Source organism: Homo sapiens, chromosome 1 (genome assembly GCF_000001405.40).
Source record: "Homo sapiens chromosome 1, GRCh38.p14 Primary Assembly".
NCBI classification, from domain to species: Eukaryota; Metazoa; Chordata; class Mammalia; order Primates; family Hominidae; genus Homo; species Homo sapiens.
Genome location: NC_000001.11, coordinates 149,763,447 through 149,781,411, shown reverse-complemented (window position 1 = coordinate 149,781,411; position 17,965 = coordinate 149,763,447). Strand labels below are relative to the sequence as shown.

The 17,965-nt window shown below is 39.8% G+C and overlaps 1 long non-coding RNA gene across 2 annotated transcripts in view, besides 1 other annotated feature; it reads right to left on the bottom strand.

The window, feature by feature from the left end:
* Positions 2,669-17,965, bottom strand: part of LOC105371406 (uncharacterized) — a 45,129-nt gene continuing 29,832 nt past the window's right edge. The window contains exons 3-4 of one of the 2 annotated variants that reach the window (XR_007066595.1): positions 3,355-3,403; positions 2,669-2,736 (exon numbers count right to left, since the gene is read on the bottom strand). This is a non-coding gene — a long non-coding RNA (uncharacterized LOC105371406). Of the gene's footprint in view, positions 2,737-3,354; positions 3,404-3,690; positions 3,782-17,965 lie in introns of those variants that run through there. The other variant, XR_007066596.1, reaches the window with a different exon arrangement.
* Positions 7,090-7,290: a silencer, noted in NCBI's record as "peak406 fragment used in MPRA reporter construct". NCBI's record gives its function as "represses an SCP1 promoter by STARR-seq MPRAs in K562 erythroleukemia cells {active_cell/tissue: K562}" and the evidence as "EXISTENCE:reporter gene assay evidence [ECO:0000049][PMID:32103011]".

Genomic DNA, 17,965 nt, shown 5'->3' with positions numbered 1-17,965 from the left:
AGGGTGTTCTGAAGAGACGAGAGAAGCCTCAGCTTGTTAAAATTTATATTCAAAGCCTATATCTGTAACTATTTTACTATTTTGTCTCCAAAGTTTTCTACTGTATGCATGTACCATAATTTATTTCACCAACTTCTCTTCATGAACATGTAGGTTATTTCTAATTTTTTACTGTGTGACCAGTAAAAAAGACTGCTTACTACCAAAATAGTCTTGTGACTACCTTTAAACATTTGACTTATTTTTTCCTTAGGACACATTCCTAGAATCAGTAGTGCTTACTCAAAGGAAATGCGCATTTTTTCCTTTGGATAAGATGCTATCAGATTGTCTATGATCATTATCCTCATCACTGCATAAATTTTAGAGTGCTTATTACATGCCAGACAAATATGCTTGATACATGTTTTCTTATTTAAGCCTCACAATAATCCATGAGTAGACACTAGTATCTCCATTTTACAAATGATAAACCTAGTGAAAGAGGAAATCAGTAATTTGTCCAAGGTTGTAAAAAATAGAAGCAGGATTCAAAATCAGACAGTTTGATTTCCTTTACGTACTCACTGATGGAGTATAACAGTGCCCACCCCATGCCTTGCGATTCCTGCTTTGTAGTAAAATAGCTACTTCTTTGAAAAATAAGTGAAATCATTTCATTGATCAGGATAACATGAGGGAATTAGGATTGTTGTGTAAGAGGAATGTAAGATCTATAGCCTGGAAGGATAAAATACTTTCTTTCTAATAAGTATTGTTGTTTCCAAATGTTGAGGAAATAGCCATTGATGTAGGTTTAAATTCATGTAAGAAGAGCTAGAAAAATGGGGCAAACATAGTAACAAAAGCAGAGTAGTCTTCTAGCATTTGATGGACAATGAAAATCATGATGCTCTGTTCTCACTTATAAGTGGGAGCTGAACGATGAGAAGACACGGACACATGGTGGGGGAACAACACATACTGTGGCCAGTCGGGTGGGGTTGGGGGAGGGAGAATGTCAGGTAGAAGAGCTAATAAATGCTTTGCTTAATACCTAGGTGATGGGTTGATCTGTGCAGCAAATCACTATGGCACACGTTTACCTATGTAATCAAACTGCACATCCCGCGCATGTACCCTGGAACTTAAAATAAAAATTCATGGAAAAAAATCATGATGCTCAGAAGAACAATTAGGAGAATTTACATCTATATATGACATTTGTATTTCCATATATTAATACTTTTTTTTTTTTTGAGATGGAGTCTCGCTCTGTCACCCAGGCTGGAGTGCAGTGGCACGATCTTGGCTCACTGCAACCTCCACCTCCCAGGTTCAAGCAATTCTCCTGCCTCAGCCTGCCCAGTAGCTGGGATCACAGGTGCACACCACCATGCCCAGTTAATTTTTGTATCTCTAGTAGAGACGGGGTTTTACCATGTTGGCCAAGATGGTCTCAATCTCTTGACCTTGTGATCCGCCTGCCTCAGCCTCCCAAAGTGCTGGGATTACAGGCATGAGCCACTGCGCCTGGCCACTGATACTTTTATAATGCCATCATACTCATAGGCTTCATTCTTTTAAAATCACTTTACAAATACAATTTTCTCAAAGGTAGATGCAAAATCTTATTTGCCAATTTTAAGAAAAATTGCTCTCTACTACAGAAAATGATTTATGAACAATTATTTGATATGTTTTTTTTAAAAGATGAGATAGGCTGGGTGCAGTGGCTCATGCCTGTAATCCCAACACTTTGGGAGGCCAAGGTGTGTGGATTGCTTGAGCCCAGGAGTTTGAAACTGACCTGGGTAATATAGTGAGATCCTGTCTCTACTAAAAATAAAAAGAATTAGCTGGGCATGGTAGTTCATGCCTGTGGTCCCAGCTACTTGGGAGGCTGAGGCAGGAGGATTGCTTGAGTCTGGGAGGTTAAGGCTGCAGTGCGCTGTGATTGTGTCACTGCACTGTAGCCTGAGTGACAGAGCAAGACCCTGTCTCAAAAACAAACAAATAAATGCTAAGATAATTTAAATCTCATAAAGAATTGACCAATAATTTATTTTATTTTCATCTCTTTATGAGTAAAAAACAGTAATGCTTTATTTCCTACTCAATTCCTTCTTTGATGATCATGTGTTTTAGAAACTATTCAAATGTATCTGCTAAATTTTAAGTAAAGAATTGCATATAAGTAATTGTCTATAGTACAATTTTGCTTAATATGTTTTGTATACTGTTGTAACAGCTCTTGGACAGGTGAAATGTATAACTTTTATGTAGTTGCTAATGCTTGAGGTGTTTCTCAAATATTCATATAAAGTTTACCCGATTTTTTTCTTCAACTGCCATTCATTATAGAAAGTCCCCCAGTGGTTCAATTTTAAGTTTCCACTAGGAACTCATTAATTTTTTATTCTTAGTTATTCTTACTACTCAATCTTTTATTTTAAAAAATTATCATCTATGATTTTATAGGAATGTTTACAGTTAATTTCTGGAGATATTATAATTTATCTTTTATAAGTTATTTCAATTTGGGATGACCTTGTCCATTTCCTCTTCCCGACTTCACCTTCTTGTGTTGTCATGAATATGTCTATCAAGCCCTTTGCTTATTTTCCTATGTGCCCTTGAGATTCTTTCCTAAGCTTTTAAGGGATCAACTCGTTATAAATCTCAGTCTGTTTGCTTTTGCATATGCAGTTTTCATCTTTCCCCAGATAGCAAGGTCACTCCATTTTGATTTTCTTCCTGTATCACAGCAGCAAGAGGAAAAGGATGGGAAAAGGGTTAAAACATTTATGTAGCTTGTGTTCCTAAAAATAGCTATCATCTGAAATGGAAAAACTCTTCACATGAGCTCATTCCCCAGCTTTTAACTGCCTAATAGTGTGAGTCAGGTGCAGACACTGAAGCGCTATTCTGAAAGACCCTCACTTAGTGTATAAATGTGAGAGGCTACAGTGGCTTGTCAGATCATAAAGTATGAAAGCTCATGATCTTCCCTGTCACCTAACCCAGCACCATTTTTCCTTGACCATCTTGGTGTGTCAGAAAGGCACCTTCAGAGTCATGGTGACAAGGACAGGGGGAGCTGGCTGAGATGGAGGGCTCTAGGTAGAAGAGGTAGAGGGGTCAGAAAGGTACGTGAGTTAAGAGGTTGGCCACAGACTCTTCCTACTTCTTTGCCCTTGTTCCGCCCCAGGGCTCTTCACTTTCTTTTAGAACTTAAAAAAGTTGACTAATATTTTACGCAAATGAAAAAATGTGTAATATATATGTGTATATGGTTAATGATGCAAAATAAGAAAATGAACATTTATAAACCCACAACCCAAATTAACAACAAGAATATTATTAATGATATACCAGATTTCCAGCCAAGATGGAGTAGCAGAGACTGGATTTATCCTCTCACCTGAAACAAAATTAAACAAAATTAAACAAAAGAACAAAATACATGAAACAATGTTTTTTGAAACTGTGGACATCAGGCAACAAAAGACAGTCACCCCTGAGAGATACGGAAGAAAAAAGATGAGCCCTGCAATTGCCTCACCTACTGCATTGAGAGGGTCTCCAGGCTGTGGTACAGGGGAACTCAGGCAGGTCCCAGTGGAGTCCCAGAATTGAGGAGACAGAGCTGAGTCTGGAGAGACCAAGGTGGCTAGAGCTCATGGATCCAAGAAATGGAAATGAAAAAGCTGCACACAGAGAGAATTCCAGAGATCTGCTGAGGGTCCCCACCAAGTATTCAGCAGAGTAGTAATCAGTGTGCTGATCTAGAAGGAAGGGGCTGAAGCACAAGATATAATTTAAAGAGTTTACTTGAGCCAAAGTGAGCACAGCTGCCCAGGACACACTTCCAAGTTAACTCAGGGAGTGCTCAATCAGCTTTTGTTACAAGCAGGTTTTTAAAGGCAAAGGTAAGAAGAAGTGGATGGATACAAAGTTCTTTGATAGAAATTTTCATTGGCTTACAGAGATGACATGGATTAGTTATTGGTTATACACTGTTGAACTATAGGATATGAGTCGTGGTGTCCAGCATATGGTATTTTATGGCTGCTTGGCATCAGTTAGTCTGGAGCCCGTATAGCAAGTGGCTTTACAAGATAATCACTCAAGGGGGAGTGATGTGACTGCAGTTTCATTCCAATGCCTCTCCGAGCCTGATAATTTAAAGGGGCTCACATTCCTCAGATAAAAAGTTTCTTCTTCTTTTTTTTTTTAATTTCACAGGTGCATGTGTGTGAAAAAACTACCCCAGGAAAGAACCACTTGAAAGCATTAGCTAGAACAGTACCCAACAGTCACACAGGGCTGGAAATAGTGCCAGTTCCCAAAAAAGGAGAGCACAATTCACAAGGCATGTGATAGAGAACCCAGAAGGGTCTTACCTCAATTAAGACATGGAAAATAGAAAAACACTAAAAGCCAACTTCTAGAGATGAATACCAGTATGCTGGATGGGATTGAGAGCACATTAGACCACAGAAAACAAGATTAATGAATGCAAAGACAGAGCAATAGAAACAATCCAAAATGAAACAGAGGGTTAAAAAAAAATGAAAAGAGCATCAGTGAGGTGTGGGACAACTTCAAGTGGCCTAATATATGTGTAATTTTGAAAGGAGGGGGCCAGCTGGGCTTCCTGAGTCAAACGGGCTCAGAAAGCTGTAAAACTCACTCATTTTCTGCATCAGAACTTACTTCGGTCCTGAATGAATAATATTAAAGATATATGCTTAAAATATTCCTAACACCAGGATTTGTGCATGTGTTTTCTTCCCAAAAAAAGCTATAAACAGCAAAAATTTTGCTGTAAGCTTCCCTGTGTCCTCTCTCCCTCTCTCCCTTCCCCCTCCCCTAAAACTAAAAGGAATATTAAATGCCTGTTTTTCTATGACCAGCGAACTTTATCTATACTCCCAATTCCAATTCCTTGTAAACATACTTTATAAAGTCCTGTAAGATTGTTTCCTTTGCCATGCTGCTGCAAGGTCATAAAATAAATAAAACCTAAGTTACAATTCTGGTTTTCCTCAAAATCTAAGACATGTCACAAAATAATTTACTGCCTTTGTTTCTCGCTCTGGTAACATCTTCCCTCTACACGTATTTCCCGCCTTAAAGAGTTTCAAAAGCAACTGCATCATCGACCTCTGACTACCCGCTCGAAACCCCTTCCACGCTGAAAAGCTTTGTACTGTCACTCTGCTCAATAAAGCCTACAGCCTTTTTTCTCTTGGTCCGTGTTTCCATCGCCACGGGCAGCCGCCACACCAATTCTTTGGTCTGGCTAAGGCAAAAATCTTTAGCGTTACAATTGGAGTCCTTGAAAAAAGAGGAAGGTGGATATGTCAGAGGCGTTTGAACCAGAGCAACTCCATCTTGAATAGGGGCTGGGTGAAATAAGGCTGAGACCTACTGGGCTGCATTCCCAGGAGGTTAAGGCATTCTTAGTCACAGGATGAGATAGGAGGTCAGCACAAGGAACAGGTCACAAAGACCTTGCTGATAAAAGGATATGGTAAAGAAGCTGGCCAAAAGCCACTAAAACCAAGATGGTGATGAAAGTGACCTTTGATCGTCCTCACTGCTCATTATATGCTAATTATAACCATTAGCATGTTAAAAGACACTCCCACCAGCACCATGACAGTTTACAAGTGCTATGGCAACATCAGGAAATTACACTATATGGTCTAAAAAGAGGAGGAACTGTCAGTTCCTGGAATTGCACCCCCCCTTTCCTGGAAAGGAATAATAATCCAACCCTTGTTTAGCATATAATCAAGAAATAACCACAAAAATAGCCAACCAGTAACCCTTGGGGCTGGTCTGCCTATGGAGTAGTCATTCTTTATTTCTTTACTTTCTTAAATAAACTTGCTTTCACTTTACTCTATGGACTCACTCCAACTTCTTCCTTGCATGAGATCCAAGAACCCTCTCGGAGTCTGGATTGGGACCCCTTCCTGGTAACAGATAGAAAAAATATTTGAACAAAGAATGACCAAAAAGTTTTCAAACTTGATGAAAACTTGTAGGAGACAGGCATGTGCCACCCTAAAATATGACTTTTTGGCATAAGGATTATTTTGAGAAACAGTAGACACAGGAGAATTCTAAAAACACAGTAGAAGTTACCCTTCTGTAAGGGAAATTTACATTTTTAAAAGAAATCTCCATTTCTAAGGCTATCTCCCTCTCTGGGCTGGGAAAAGAAGGAGGACTAAATCACAAAAGGCTCTTACCAATGGAGAAGGCACCAATTTAAATCTGCATAATAAACCTTACTCTTGTTTGATTTTCCTGAACACTTTCCCATAGCTTGCTTTCCCAACACCCTTCTTTCTTTCTTTTAGTTGAAGATGCTACATAAGCCAAAATTCTAGGCCACCTCTTTGAGAGTTACTCATTTTTCCCTGATTATCTGCTTTTCTCTTGTTAATCTATCTTGTTATAAAAGTCCCAGCTGAGAACTCAGAAGGGTAGAAGAAAAATTATTTTTTCTCCCCTACACTATAAATTTATAAATCCAAGATTCTCAATGAACCCCAAGCACAAAAACAAATAAAAACACCCCCCAAACAACAAAAACCATGAAGAAAACAGCATAAAGATTTAATAATCAAATTACTGAAAGTTAGTGAGAGAAAATCTCAAAAGTGATCGGAGATAAAAAGACATGCTACACACAGAGGCACAAAGAAAACATCAGATTTCTTGTTGGAAATAATGCAAGTGAGAAGACAATGTAGCAACAACATCTTTAAAAGGTACTGAAAGAAAAATAAGGTGTTATAGATGTGTAAATTTTTAATTTTATAAGATGATGCCAAGTTAATTTCTACATGGCTATACTACTTTGCCCTGTCATTAATAGGATATAAGGATTTCTATGTCACTAAATCCCTTGTCAACACTTAGTATTTGTCAACAAAAAAGTCAAACTCTGTGAAATATGTGAAGAGATTTATCCTGAGCCAAATATGAGTGACCAATGGCCTGTGACACAGCCCTCAGGAGATCCTGAGAACATGTACTCAAGGTGGTCAGGATGCAGCTTGGTTTTATGCATTTTACAGAGACATAAGACATCAATCAATACATGTAAAAGGTACATTGGTTCAGTTTGGAAAGGCAGGACAACTGGAAGCAGCAGGCAGGGGTGAGGTGGCTTCCAAGTCATAGGCAGATTCAAAGATTTTCTGATTGGCAATTCCTTATTATCAATAGAAAGGAATATCTGGCTTGTGATAAGGGGTTGTGGAGACGAAGGTTTTGTCATTCAGATGAAGCCTCCAGGTATCCAGGCAGCAGACTTCAGAGAGAATAGATTGTAAATGTTTTTTTTTTTTTATCAGACTTAGAGTCTGTTCTACCAGTAATTCCAAAAGGGAGGAGGGTATGATGAGGCATGTTCAGCTCCCCCTTCCCATCATGGCCTGAACTAGTTTTTCAGGTTCACTTTGGAATGCCCTTGGCCAAGAGGAGGGGTCCATTAAGATGCTTGGGGGGTCTTACAATTTTATTTTTGGTTTATATAATGTAAGAAGACTTCTTAGTCCCCATTTCCATTTTTGTAGTTATAAAATAGTACTCTATGGTAGACTTAATTTAGATTTCCCTGATTACTGATGAGGTTGAGTCCTTTTTCATATGTTAATTTACCATTTATGCAGTTTCTTCCATGAAATATCTGTTTGTGGCTTTTATTTTGTTCATAGTGGGCACTTTTGTCTATTTCTTATTGGTTTATAAAGGTTTAAAAATTTAGTCTGATACAAACCCTCATGGCTTACTTCTGTTGAAATTATTTTTTTCTGATTGGCAACTCATTTCCTGACTTTCTTTATGTTGTCTTTTCATGTACAAAAGTTCTTAATTTTGATGAGGTTTAATTTGTCAGTATTTTATTTTATGATTAGTATTTTTGTCTTGCTTATGAAATCTTTGCTGATTCCAAAGTATTTTCTTCTAAAAGTATTAAAGTTTTGCCTTTTACAATTAAGTCTTAAGTCCATGTCTGTAGGTGATGTGAAGCAGGTATCTAATTTCTTTTTTTTCCCTTGTGTATAAGCAGTTGTGTCAGTACCATTTAAAAGACCTAATCATCCTGTTTTTGATATGAACTGACAATTCTATCACAAAGTTTCATATATATGTGTTTTTAGAGCTTAGGCTATTTGACCAGCAATTTGCTTATCTTTGTCTCAATACCACATTGTCTTAATATTATAGCTTTATAATACATCCTTATATATGGTAGTGCACATCTCCTTAATCATCTCAGGATTTTCATAGTTATTCTTGGATTTTTGCTCATTAATGTACACATTGAATCAAGTTGTCAGCTTTCTTAGTATTTGTTGGGATTTAGATGATTTACATTGAATATGTAAACAAATTTGAAGAAAATTTGTACTTAATGACATTGAGTCTTCTAAACCATAAACTTAATGTATCTATTAAATTATGTGGTCTTTCTTAATAACTTCCCATAAATTGCACAGTTTTCTTCATAAATGCCCTGCACAAATCTTACGGGATTTCTTTCTAGGTGTGTGCGTGTGTGTGTGTGTGTGTGTGTGTGTGTGTGTATCTTTGTTAATTCAAATGGTAATTTCTAAAAGTTTATTTTTGATATAATGGAAACACAGCTGATTTAGGGAACACTGATTTTTATATCCAGATACCTTACTAATGTAAGTCCTGGGAGATAGCTATTTGCATGAAAATCTTACACTTTGGGGGATCAGGAGGAGCATGTGCAGTGGTTCTATTCCTTGAAAAAAATTTTTTTTGAGACAGGGTCTTGCTTTGTCTCTCAGGCTGGAGTGCAGTGGCATGATCATGGCTCGCTGCAGGCTTGACCTCCCGTGCTCAAGCGATCGTCCCACCTCCTGAGTGGCTGGGACTACAGGCATGCACTACCAGGCTTGGGTAATTTTTATATTTTTTGTAGAGTCAAGGTCTTCTTATGTTGCCCAGGCTGGCATTGAATTCTTGGGCTCAAGTGATCCTCCCACCTTGGCCTCCCAAAGTGCTGGGATTACAAGTATGAGCAGCTGCGCCTGGCCTGAAAGGTTTTGCACAATGATTTTGTTTCTTAGGGTTTTATCCAGTCTGTAAGGGTAATAGTGATCCTTACTCATAGTCTTGTTCTTTGTCACCACAACTTAGTTTCTCTTCCTCCAGTCACCTCTAGGCTGATTCTTAAGAAGTGAAAACAAGACTTATTGGAAAGACAGAGTAACAGAGAGAGAGAGTGAATGAGTGTGTGTGTGTTTTCCATCTATCTAAACAAGCCTGGAACACTCCAACATTTCAACATTTTACTTAGATGAGAACATCTTACTGTTGTCTCAATTTTGTACATGAGATAAAGCTACAAGAGGTTAAGTTACTTCATCAGGGTCAAAAAATTAGTAAATGGTACAGTGAGACATAAACTAGCTCCATGTCTAGTTCTGTGCAGTAGTGATATAAGAATTATAAGGTTTAACAGAAACAGAATTGTTGCTAATTGTCCCTGAGTATGCTTCCCTCTACACTGTAACTCAGCAGTCTTCTCTCAGGCAATTAGCAGCTTTATCACGTGGAAGAGGAAGAGGCTAAAATTCAGTCAAAATCAGGTCCTCTTTGGGGAAAATTAGTCTTTTGCAGTAGGGGTGTAGAAAGAGAGTCAAGAAATAAAGCATTGTTGGCTGGGCACGGTGGCTTACGCCTGTAATCCCAGCACTTTGGGAGGCCAAGGCAGGTGGATCACGAGGTCAGAAGTTCAAGACCAGCCAATATGGTGAAATCCTGTCTCTACTAAAAAAATACAAAAATTAGCTGGGCGTGGTGTTTTGTGCCTGTAGTCCCAGCTACTTGGGAGGCTGAGGCAGGAGAATTGCTTGAACCCGGGAGGCAGAGGTTGCAGTGAGCTGAGATTGTGCCACTACACTTCAGCCTGGGTGACTCTGTCTCACACACGCACAAAAAAACATAAACATTGCTGAGCCTGGTGGCTCATGCCTATAATCCCAGCTACTTGGGAGGCTGAGGCAGGAGGATCACTTGTGCCCAGGAGTTTGAGGCTGCAGTGAGCCATGATTGCACCACTGCATTCCAGCCTGGGTGACAGAGTGAGACTCTGTCTCTAAATAAATAAATAAATAAATAAATAAAAATAAAGCATTATATCCTCATAGTGGCTTAGCATTTGGTAGGAGTAGCAGATGTTGTACATCTTCTGACTTTTCAGAGGGTGAGCACCGGCTTCTTGTAGTCAAAAGGGACAAAGGGGAGACCATTCTCCTTACAACTATAATTTACCATACTAAGGTAGAACTCAATAAAGACCCTGTTTAAGATACCGTTAGCATTCAAGACTGGATCCTCTGGCCTCCCTTCTTCTCACCTGACTCTATGAAGATGTTGTAATATAGGGTTAATGCGCAGTTTGTGTCAAGGTTTTCTTTTGAACAATTTTCCTAGAAAAAAGGGGGATAGCAATGCTTGTGCCCACTGCTGAGTCACAGAGGCTTGAATCAAATCCCTTCAGCTGCAGCCTAAGTAAACGATGACAAATGCTAACCCAGGAAGGACTGAGGTGGTTTCTAAGTTACGACTAGATTCTTTCCCATTCTACTACTCACTTCTAGATCCAAGTCCTGGCTCTTTTCACTTTAGAGACATCCTGTTTCCTACATGGCAGTCTTCAGTGCTGTCTCTGCAGTTTCAGGAACTATGACCTTTGATGCTGCTGGGGCTCAGAAAACAATACCCCAAAATATGGCACTTTGACATGCTGAACTAAAGAAGCAGCCTCAAGGTATCTCTCTCTGACCTCTCCTCACCCTTACCTACACCTCACCCCCATCCTCTTACTTTCCTGAAGCACTAGCAGGGACTCTCTATGGAATTTCCTCAGCTGACTAAGAAAGATTCCAAAAGAATTGCTGGGCACGGTGGCTAATGCCTGTAATCCTAGCACTTTGGGAGGCTGAGGCAGGAGGATCACTTGAGGCCAGGAGTTCAAGACCAGCCTGGCCAACATGACGAAACCTCATCTCTATTAGAAATACAAAAAATTAGCTGAGTGTGGTGGCATGCATCTGTAGTCCCAGCTACTCAGGAGGCTGAGGCAGGAGAATTGCTTAAACACGGGAGGCAGAGGTTGCAGTGAGTTGAGATTGTGCCACTGCACTCCAGCCTGGGTGATAGAGCAAGACTCCATCTCAAAAAATAAAATAAAATAAAATAAAATAAAATAAAATAAAATAAAATAAAATAAAATAATAAAATAAAATAAAATAAAATAAAATAGAAATGCAATTGTCTTAAAACTCCCTCCCTAGGAATCTCATGAAATAACCAGGAAAGATTAACCACAAGAGAAGAAACTAGGAGTCCTCACCTTGCCCTGACAGACTTTTCATGTATTCCTCCAAGGGCAGCTCAGAGAGAGTACCTGAGAGGCTTTATCTGAATAATAAAACAACCTTTGTTCACAGTAAAGTTCTGTCCTTCACCTTCTGGCCACTGACCCCAGAGCTCAGAGGAACTTTGTCCCAGATCACTGTTCTTTGGGTTCACTCATTCCCCCTGAAAACCATTTACTGCTACACCCTTCATCTCCCCTTTCTCTGTGAGGAAGGGTGTATAACAATTTGGACCTTACTGGGTTGTTGGGTAACCATCCTCCTTTAATTCCCCTGAGCTATACATGTTAAATACATTTTGTATGGCTTTTTCTCCTATTAATTTGTCTATAGTCCATTTTCAGCAAACTTTCAGAGGATAGAAGGGGAAGCTTTTTCTTGGTCCCTACAATGTCAAATTAAACAGATGAGACTAGAAGTCTGGGAGTGCAAGGACTTCTTGGGATCACATCATTGTTTTCCCTGCTTTGGTTAGGAATACTGTCTTACTAGTGCAAATCGATGGCAGTTGGTTCAGTTCAGAAAACTCACATGTGGAAAGGCAATTTCCTGTGTGTCACATTTGTGGGAACTTCACTTCCCCAAACCAGTGAGTTTAAGGGTGATTTCTCTTTCATTCACTTATAGAAGTCATACTCTCTAAAACATCTCCTTTCTCATTTTAGTGATTTCCAAGCTGTCTCTTCAGTCAAATGGACTTATTTCAGTTAAATTACAAATAATTGCTGCTAGGATGAATCCTGACTGAGAGTAATCAGTAATTCTCTTCCTGTCCATCCTCCATCACATTTAGATAAAAATTCAATAATGTTTTTAAATCCCTGTGGGTTGGTTAGGAGAGGTGGGAGAAGATGACAGAGAGATGATGGAAAGGGAATTTAGGTAATGTTGCTGTATTTACTCACGTGCTTCCTTATTCCCTTAGTCAACTCAGTTTCATAAATTTCTTCAGGATCTTTTTCAAGAAGATCTTTCGATTTTTTTTCAGCCTACTCTAATTACTCCTTGTCTATGTTACTGTTCCTATTTGTACAGAGCTCAGACTACCCTATCATGTGTTCCTGCTTTTTCATTTCTTTTTTTTTTTGAGATGGAGTCTCACTCTGTCACCCAGACTGGAGGGCAGTGGTGTGATCTCAGTTCACAGCAACCTCCACCTCCCAGGTTCAGGGGATCCTCCACCTCAGCCTCCCAAGTAGCTGGGATTACAGGCCTGTGCCACCACGCTCGGCTAATTTTTATATTTTTAATAGAGATGGGGTTTCACCACATTGGCCAGGCTAGTCTCAAACTCCTGACCTCAAGTGATCCATCTGCCTTGGCCTCCCAAAGTTCTGGATTGCAGGTATGAGCCGTCGTACCTGCCCCATGTGTTCTTTTTTATAGTCTATTCGTTATATACATGATATATTTACTTCCCCAATTGTGGTGTAAGCATTTTTAGAGGATGCTTACACCACAACTGGGGAAGTAAATATATCACGTTCCTATTCTATTTGTATATTGCTTTACAAAGACATTCAGATAACATATGCTTGATAATGAATACATAAATAAATGTATATTATTTACATTTAGCATCTTCTCTTCCCTCAGTCTTTGTGTATCCTGAAGACAGCTTATATGCAAAATTAGAAGTATGGAAGTTATCAGAGTCTCTCCTGGCAGTTTCTGTATCTGTGTGTCTTGTACACAAACATTTGCTTAATGACTTTATGTTTGAAAATCTTACAACTAAGTGAAAATATGTGAAGTGAATAAAAAGTTTTTGTTATTCTAAACAGAAAAATTAACCCAAGATACCCAAAAGATAGAAAACATATAGATTAAACAAACTAAATTTATGTAAATAATAGATAAAAATAAAATAAATACAGTTTTCACATATGAATTTTTATTGTATTCATCAAAGGAGGAAGAGGAGACTTGGTTATAGGTGATGGTCAATAGAGGAGGACTGGGAGGGGATTATTCTTTCAAAGTCAGTGAAGATTCAGTGCCAGACCAGCATTCAATATCAAATTTAATGTGATTAATAATTTCCTTTACCTTAAGGCTTTGACCAAATAAAAGCTAAACACAAAAAGGCTTTATAGAATATTGAAATGGTGAACATGTACAGCAGATTGAAGAGTCATAGAAGATGCAACCCTCTCATTCACTTTGCTTGGCATGTGTATGAAAAACAGTATTTTGGGTTCATCTAAATATGTCATTGATTTGGTTTGGCTGTGTCCTCACCCAAATCTCATCTTCAACTGTAGCTCCCATAATCCCCACATGTCATGGGAGGGACCCAGTGGGAGGTAGGTGAATCATGGGGCCAGTTACCTTCATGCTGTTCTCATGATAGTGAATGATTCTCACGAGATCTGATGGTTTTATAAGGGGTTTTTCCCCCACTTCGCTCTGTACTTCTTGCTGCTGCCATGTGAAGAAGGACACGTTTGCTTCCCATTCCACCGCGATTGTAAGTTTCCTGGGGTATCCCTGGCCATGCAGAACTGTGAGTCAATTAAACCTCTTTCCTTTATAAATTACCCAGTCTCAGGTATGTCTTTATTAGCAGTGTGAGAATGGACTAATACAGTAAATTGGTACTGGGTAGTGGGGCACTGCTGTAAAGATACTTGAAAATGTAGAAGCAACTTTGGAACTGGGTAACAGGCAGAGGTTGAAACAGTTTGGAGGGCTCAGAAGAAGACAGGAAGATGTGGGAACGTTTGGAACTTCCTAGAGACTTGTTGAATGGCTTTGACCAAAATGCTGATAGTGATATGGACAATAAAGTCCAGGCTGAGGTGGTCTCAGATGGAAATGGTAACTAGTTGGGAACTAGAGGAAAGGTCTCTTGTTATGCTTTAGCAAAGAGACTGGCAGCATTTTACCCCCTGCTCTAGAGATCTGTGGAATTCTGAACTTGAGAGAGATGATTTAGAGTGTCTGGTAGACGAAATTTCTAAGCAGCAAAGCGTTCAAGAGGTGACAGAGCATAAAAATTTGGAAAATTTGCAGCCTATGTGGTAGAAAAGAAAAACCTGTTTTCTAGGGAGAAATTCAAGCTGGCTGCAGAAATTTGCATAAGTAATGAGGAACCAAATGTTAATCGCCAAGACAGTGGGGAAAAGGTCTTCAGGGCATGTCAGAGACCTCCCTGCTGTGTACAGCCTAGGAACTTGGTGCACTGTGTCCCAGCCACTCCAACCATGGCTACAAGGGGCCAAGGTACACCTTGAGTCATGACTTCAGCGGGTGCGAGCCCCAAGCCTTGGCAGCTTTCACATGGTGTTGGTCCTGCAGGTGTGCAGAGGACAAGATCTGAGGTTTGGGAACCTAGATTTCAGGGGATGTGTGGAAATGCCTGGATGCCCAGGCAGAGGTGTGCTGCAAGGGCAGAGCCCTCATGGAGAACCTCTGCTAGGGCAGTGCAGAAGGGATATGTGGGGTTGGAGCCCCGACACAGAGTCCCCACTGGGACACTTCCTAGTAAAGCTGTGAGAAGAGGGCCACCATCCTCTAGACCCCAGGATAGTAAAACCACTGACAGCTTGCACCATGCACCTGGAAAAGACTCAGACACTCAATGCCAGCTGTGAAAGCTGCCAGGAAGAGGGCTGTACCCTGCAAAGTCACAGGGTCAGAGCTGCCCAACATCATGGGAGCCCACCTCTTGCATCAGTGTGATCTGGATTTGAGACATGGAGTCAAAGGATATTATTTTGGAGCTTAAGGATTTAATTACTGCCCTATTGAATTTTGGACTTGCCTGGGGCCTGTAGCTCCTTTGTTTTGGCCAATCTCTCCCATTTGCAGTGGCTGTATTTACCCAATGCCTGTACTCTCATTGTATCAAGGAAGTAACTAACTTGCTTTTGATTTTACAGGCTCATAGACAGAAGGGACTTGCCTTTGGATGAGATTTTGGACTTGGACTTTTGAGCTAATTATGGGATGAGTTAAAATTTTGGGGGACTTTTGGGAAGGTATGATTGTGTTTTAAAATGTGAGGACATGAGATTTGGGAGGGGCCAGGGCAGAATGATATGGTTTTGCTGTGTCCCCACCCAAATCACATTTTGAATTGTAGTTCCCATAATCCCCACATAATGAGAGGGACCCAGTGGGAGGTAATTGAATTGTGGGGGTGGTTTCCCCCATGCTGTTCTCATGATAGTGAGTTCTCACGAGATCTGATGGTTTTATAAGGGACTTTTCCCCGCTTTTGCTCTGCATTTCTCCTTGCTGCTGCCATGTGAAGAGGGATGTATTTGCATCTCCTTCTGTCATGATTGTAAGTTTCCTGAGGGCTCCCCAGCCATGCTGAACTGTGAGTTAATCAAGTCTCTTTTCTTTTTAAATTACCTAGTCTCAGGTATGTCTTTATTAGCAGTGTGAGAACAGACTAATACAGTCATGCAATTCAAAGTTGTTTCACACAATATTCTCTGACTACAAATGGTCATGTCAGGTAAATTGGTGAGTAGTACTGTGTGTCATTCAGGGTCTAAAAGGAAAATGGGCTGGGCATGGTGGCTCACACCTGTAATCTCAACACTTTGAGATGCCAAAATGGGAGGATCACTTGAATCTAGTAGTTTAAGATTAGCCTGGGAAAAAGAGTGAGACACTGTGTCTAAAAAAAATAAAAATTAGCTGGGCATGGTGGCACACTCACTTGAGCCCAGGAGTTTAAGGCTTCAGTGAGCTATGATTGCACCACAGCACTTGAGTCTGGGTAACAGAGCAAGACCCTGTCTCAAAAAAAAAAAAAAAAAAAAAAAATAGAAAATGAACAGTATACCAGAGGGAATTTAACACAAGGAATTATACAGGTATTGGAGGTCTAAGAAGGCAAAAGGGGAACTGATGTAACACAGAGATAGTAAGTGTAGAAAGCGAAGCAGTGATCAACCCTAGGGTTGTAGAAACAAAGGTAAAATGGTTGGGTTGTTAGAACTTGGTAACTTGGATGAAGGGCCACACATAACTGGGAGGATGGCTTCTGAGAAGGAGGTTGCTGGTGGCCTTGGAACTCAGAGGAAGTACCTAGTGTCGCAGGGACTCAGATCTCTGAAGAAGAGGTGTCCACTGGCTGATGCTCATGCCTTTGAGAGGGGGCCATGAGGCTGGCTCCGGGATTGTAAGAAAGGAAAAGAAATGAAACTGGAAACAATGACCACTCTCAGAGTAAAAAATTATGGCTGGGATGATGCTAATTGAAACAAGAAACAAAATAGGAAGCAGCCAGACCTATATCCCTCCTCCAGCCTTTCAGTCTCTTTTTAACACCCCTTACTGACAGAAACTAATAAAGCCAGCAAGCAAAAAAAAGATGTGGTTTGCAGAGTCCTCACCTTAGCATCAAAAAGCAGATTACAGAGGGTGGGCCCCTCTTTGGCCACTTCCCTACATGCTCATTCATACACATCCTCCTACATAGTGTCTGCTTGAAACCATGATGTCAAAATATAATTTCTTATAGCATGTTTATTTATTTTGGGGTGACAAATCATTATAATAAAAAAGGAGTTGTCCAAAAAGTGACATAGCTTTATAATAGCCATTATGGCAAAAAGTCATTAATTGAACAGTCATTACATGAGGGGATCAGGAACTAAAAATCAACGCTCATTATGGTCATAATGTAAAGAAACATCACAGGAAATCATATATATCCACCATTCATGAATAGAGGAAGTCTGATACCTAAGAACAGGAACTGGTCCAAAGGGGTAACCTGGAGCTGTATCTTTTTAAAGACAAAACACCCTCCTCCAGGCTTAACAGAGCTTGAAGTGTGAGAACCAGGAAAAGAGGAGTCAATCTCTGGGAACTTAGCTAATATCTACTTTCATGGACACCCCTACAGTCTAACTTTCATTCATTCATTTAACTATTATATGTTGAGTACATAAAATGTTCTAGGCACTAGAGTGGTGAATGAGACTTAATCCATGCTCTGATGGAACTGATTCTTTTTCTTTTTCCTCGCCCAGGTTGGAGTGCAGTGGTGTGATCTCGGCTTATTGCAACCTCTGCCTCCCTGGTTCAAGCGTTTATTGTGTCTCAGTCTCCTGCGTAGCTGGGATCACAGGTGTGCATCACCATGCCCAGCTAATTTTTTTATTTGTAGTAGAGATGGGGTTTCACCATGTTGGCCAGGCTGGTCTCAAACTCCTGGCCTCAAGTGATCCATTCACCTGGGCCTTCCAAAGTGCTGGGATTATAGGCGTAAGCTACTGTGCCCAGCCAGAATTTACTCTTTAGTGGGTGATTACAACAATTAACAGGTAAAAAGTAAATATATAAAGCTTAAATAAAGATATCAAGAAGTAGTAGGTACTACAAAAGAAAATAAACAGAAAAATGAACGGAGAATAGAAATTTAAACTAACCAGTAATAAGGGAGATGCAAGTCAAGACAATTAAATGTCTTTTTCACTTCCCAGATTGGTAAAAGTATAAATTATTGATAATAGCACCTTGTAAAGGATGAAATAAAATGGATATTTTCATACACTGTCAGTAGGAGTAAATTGGCA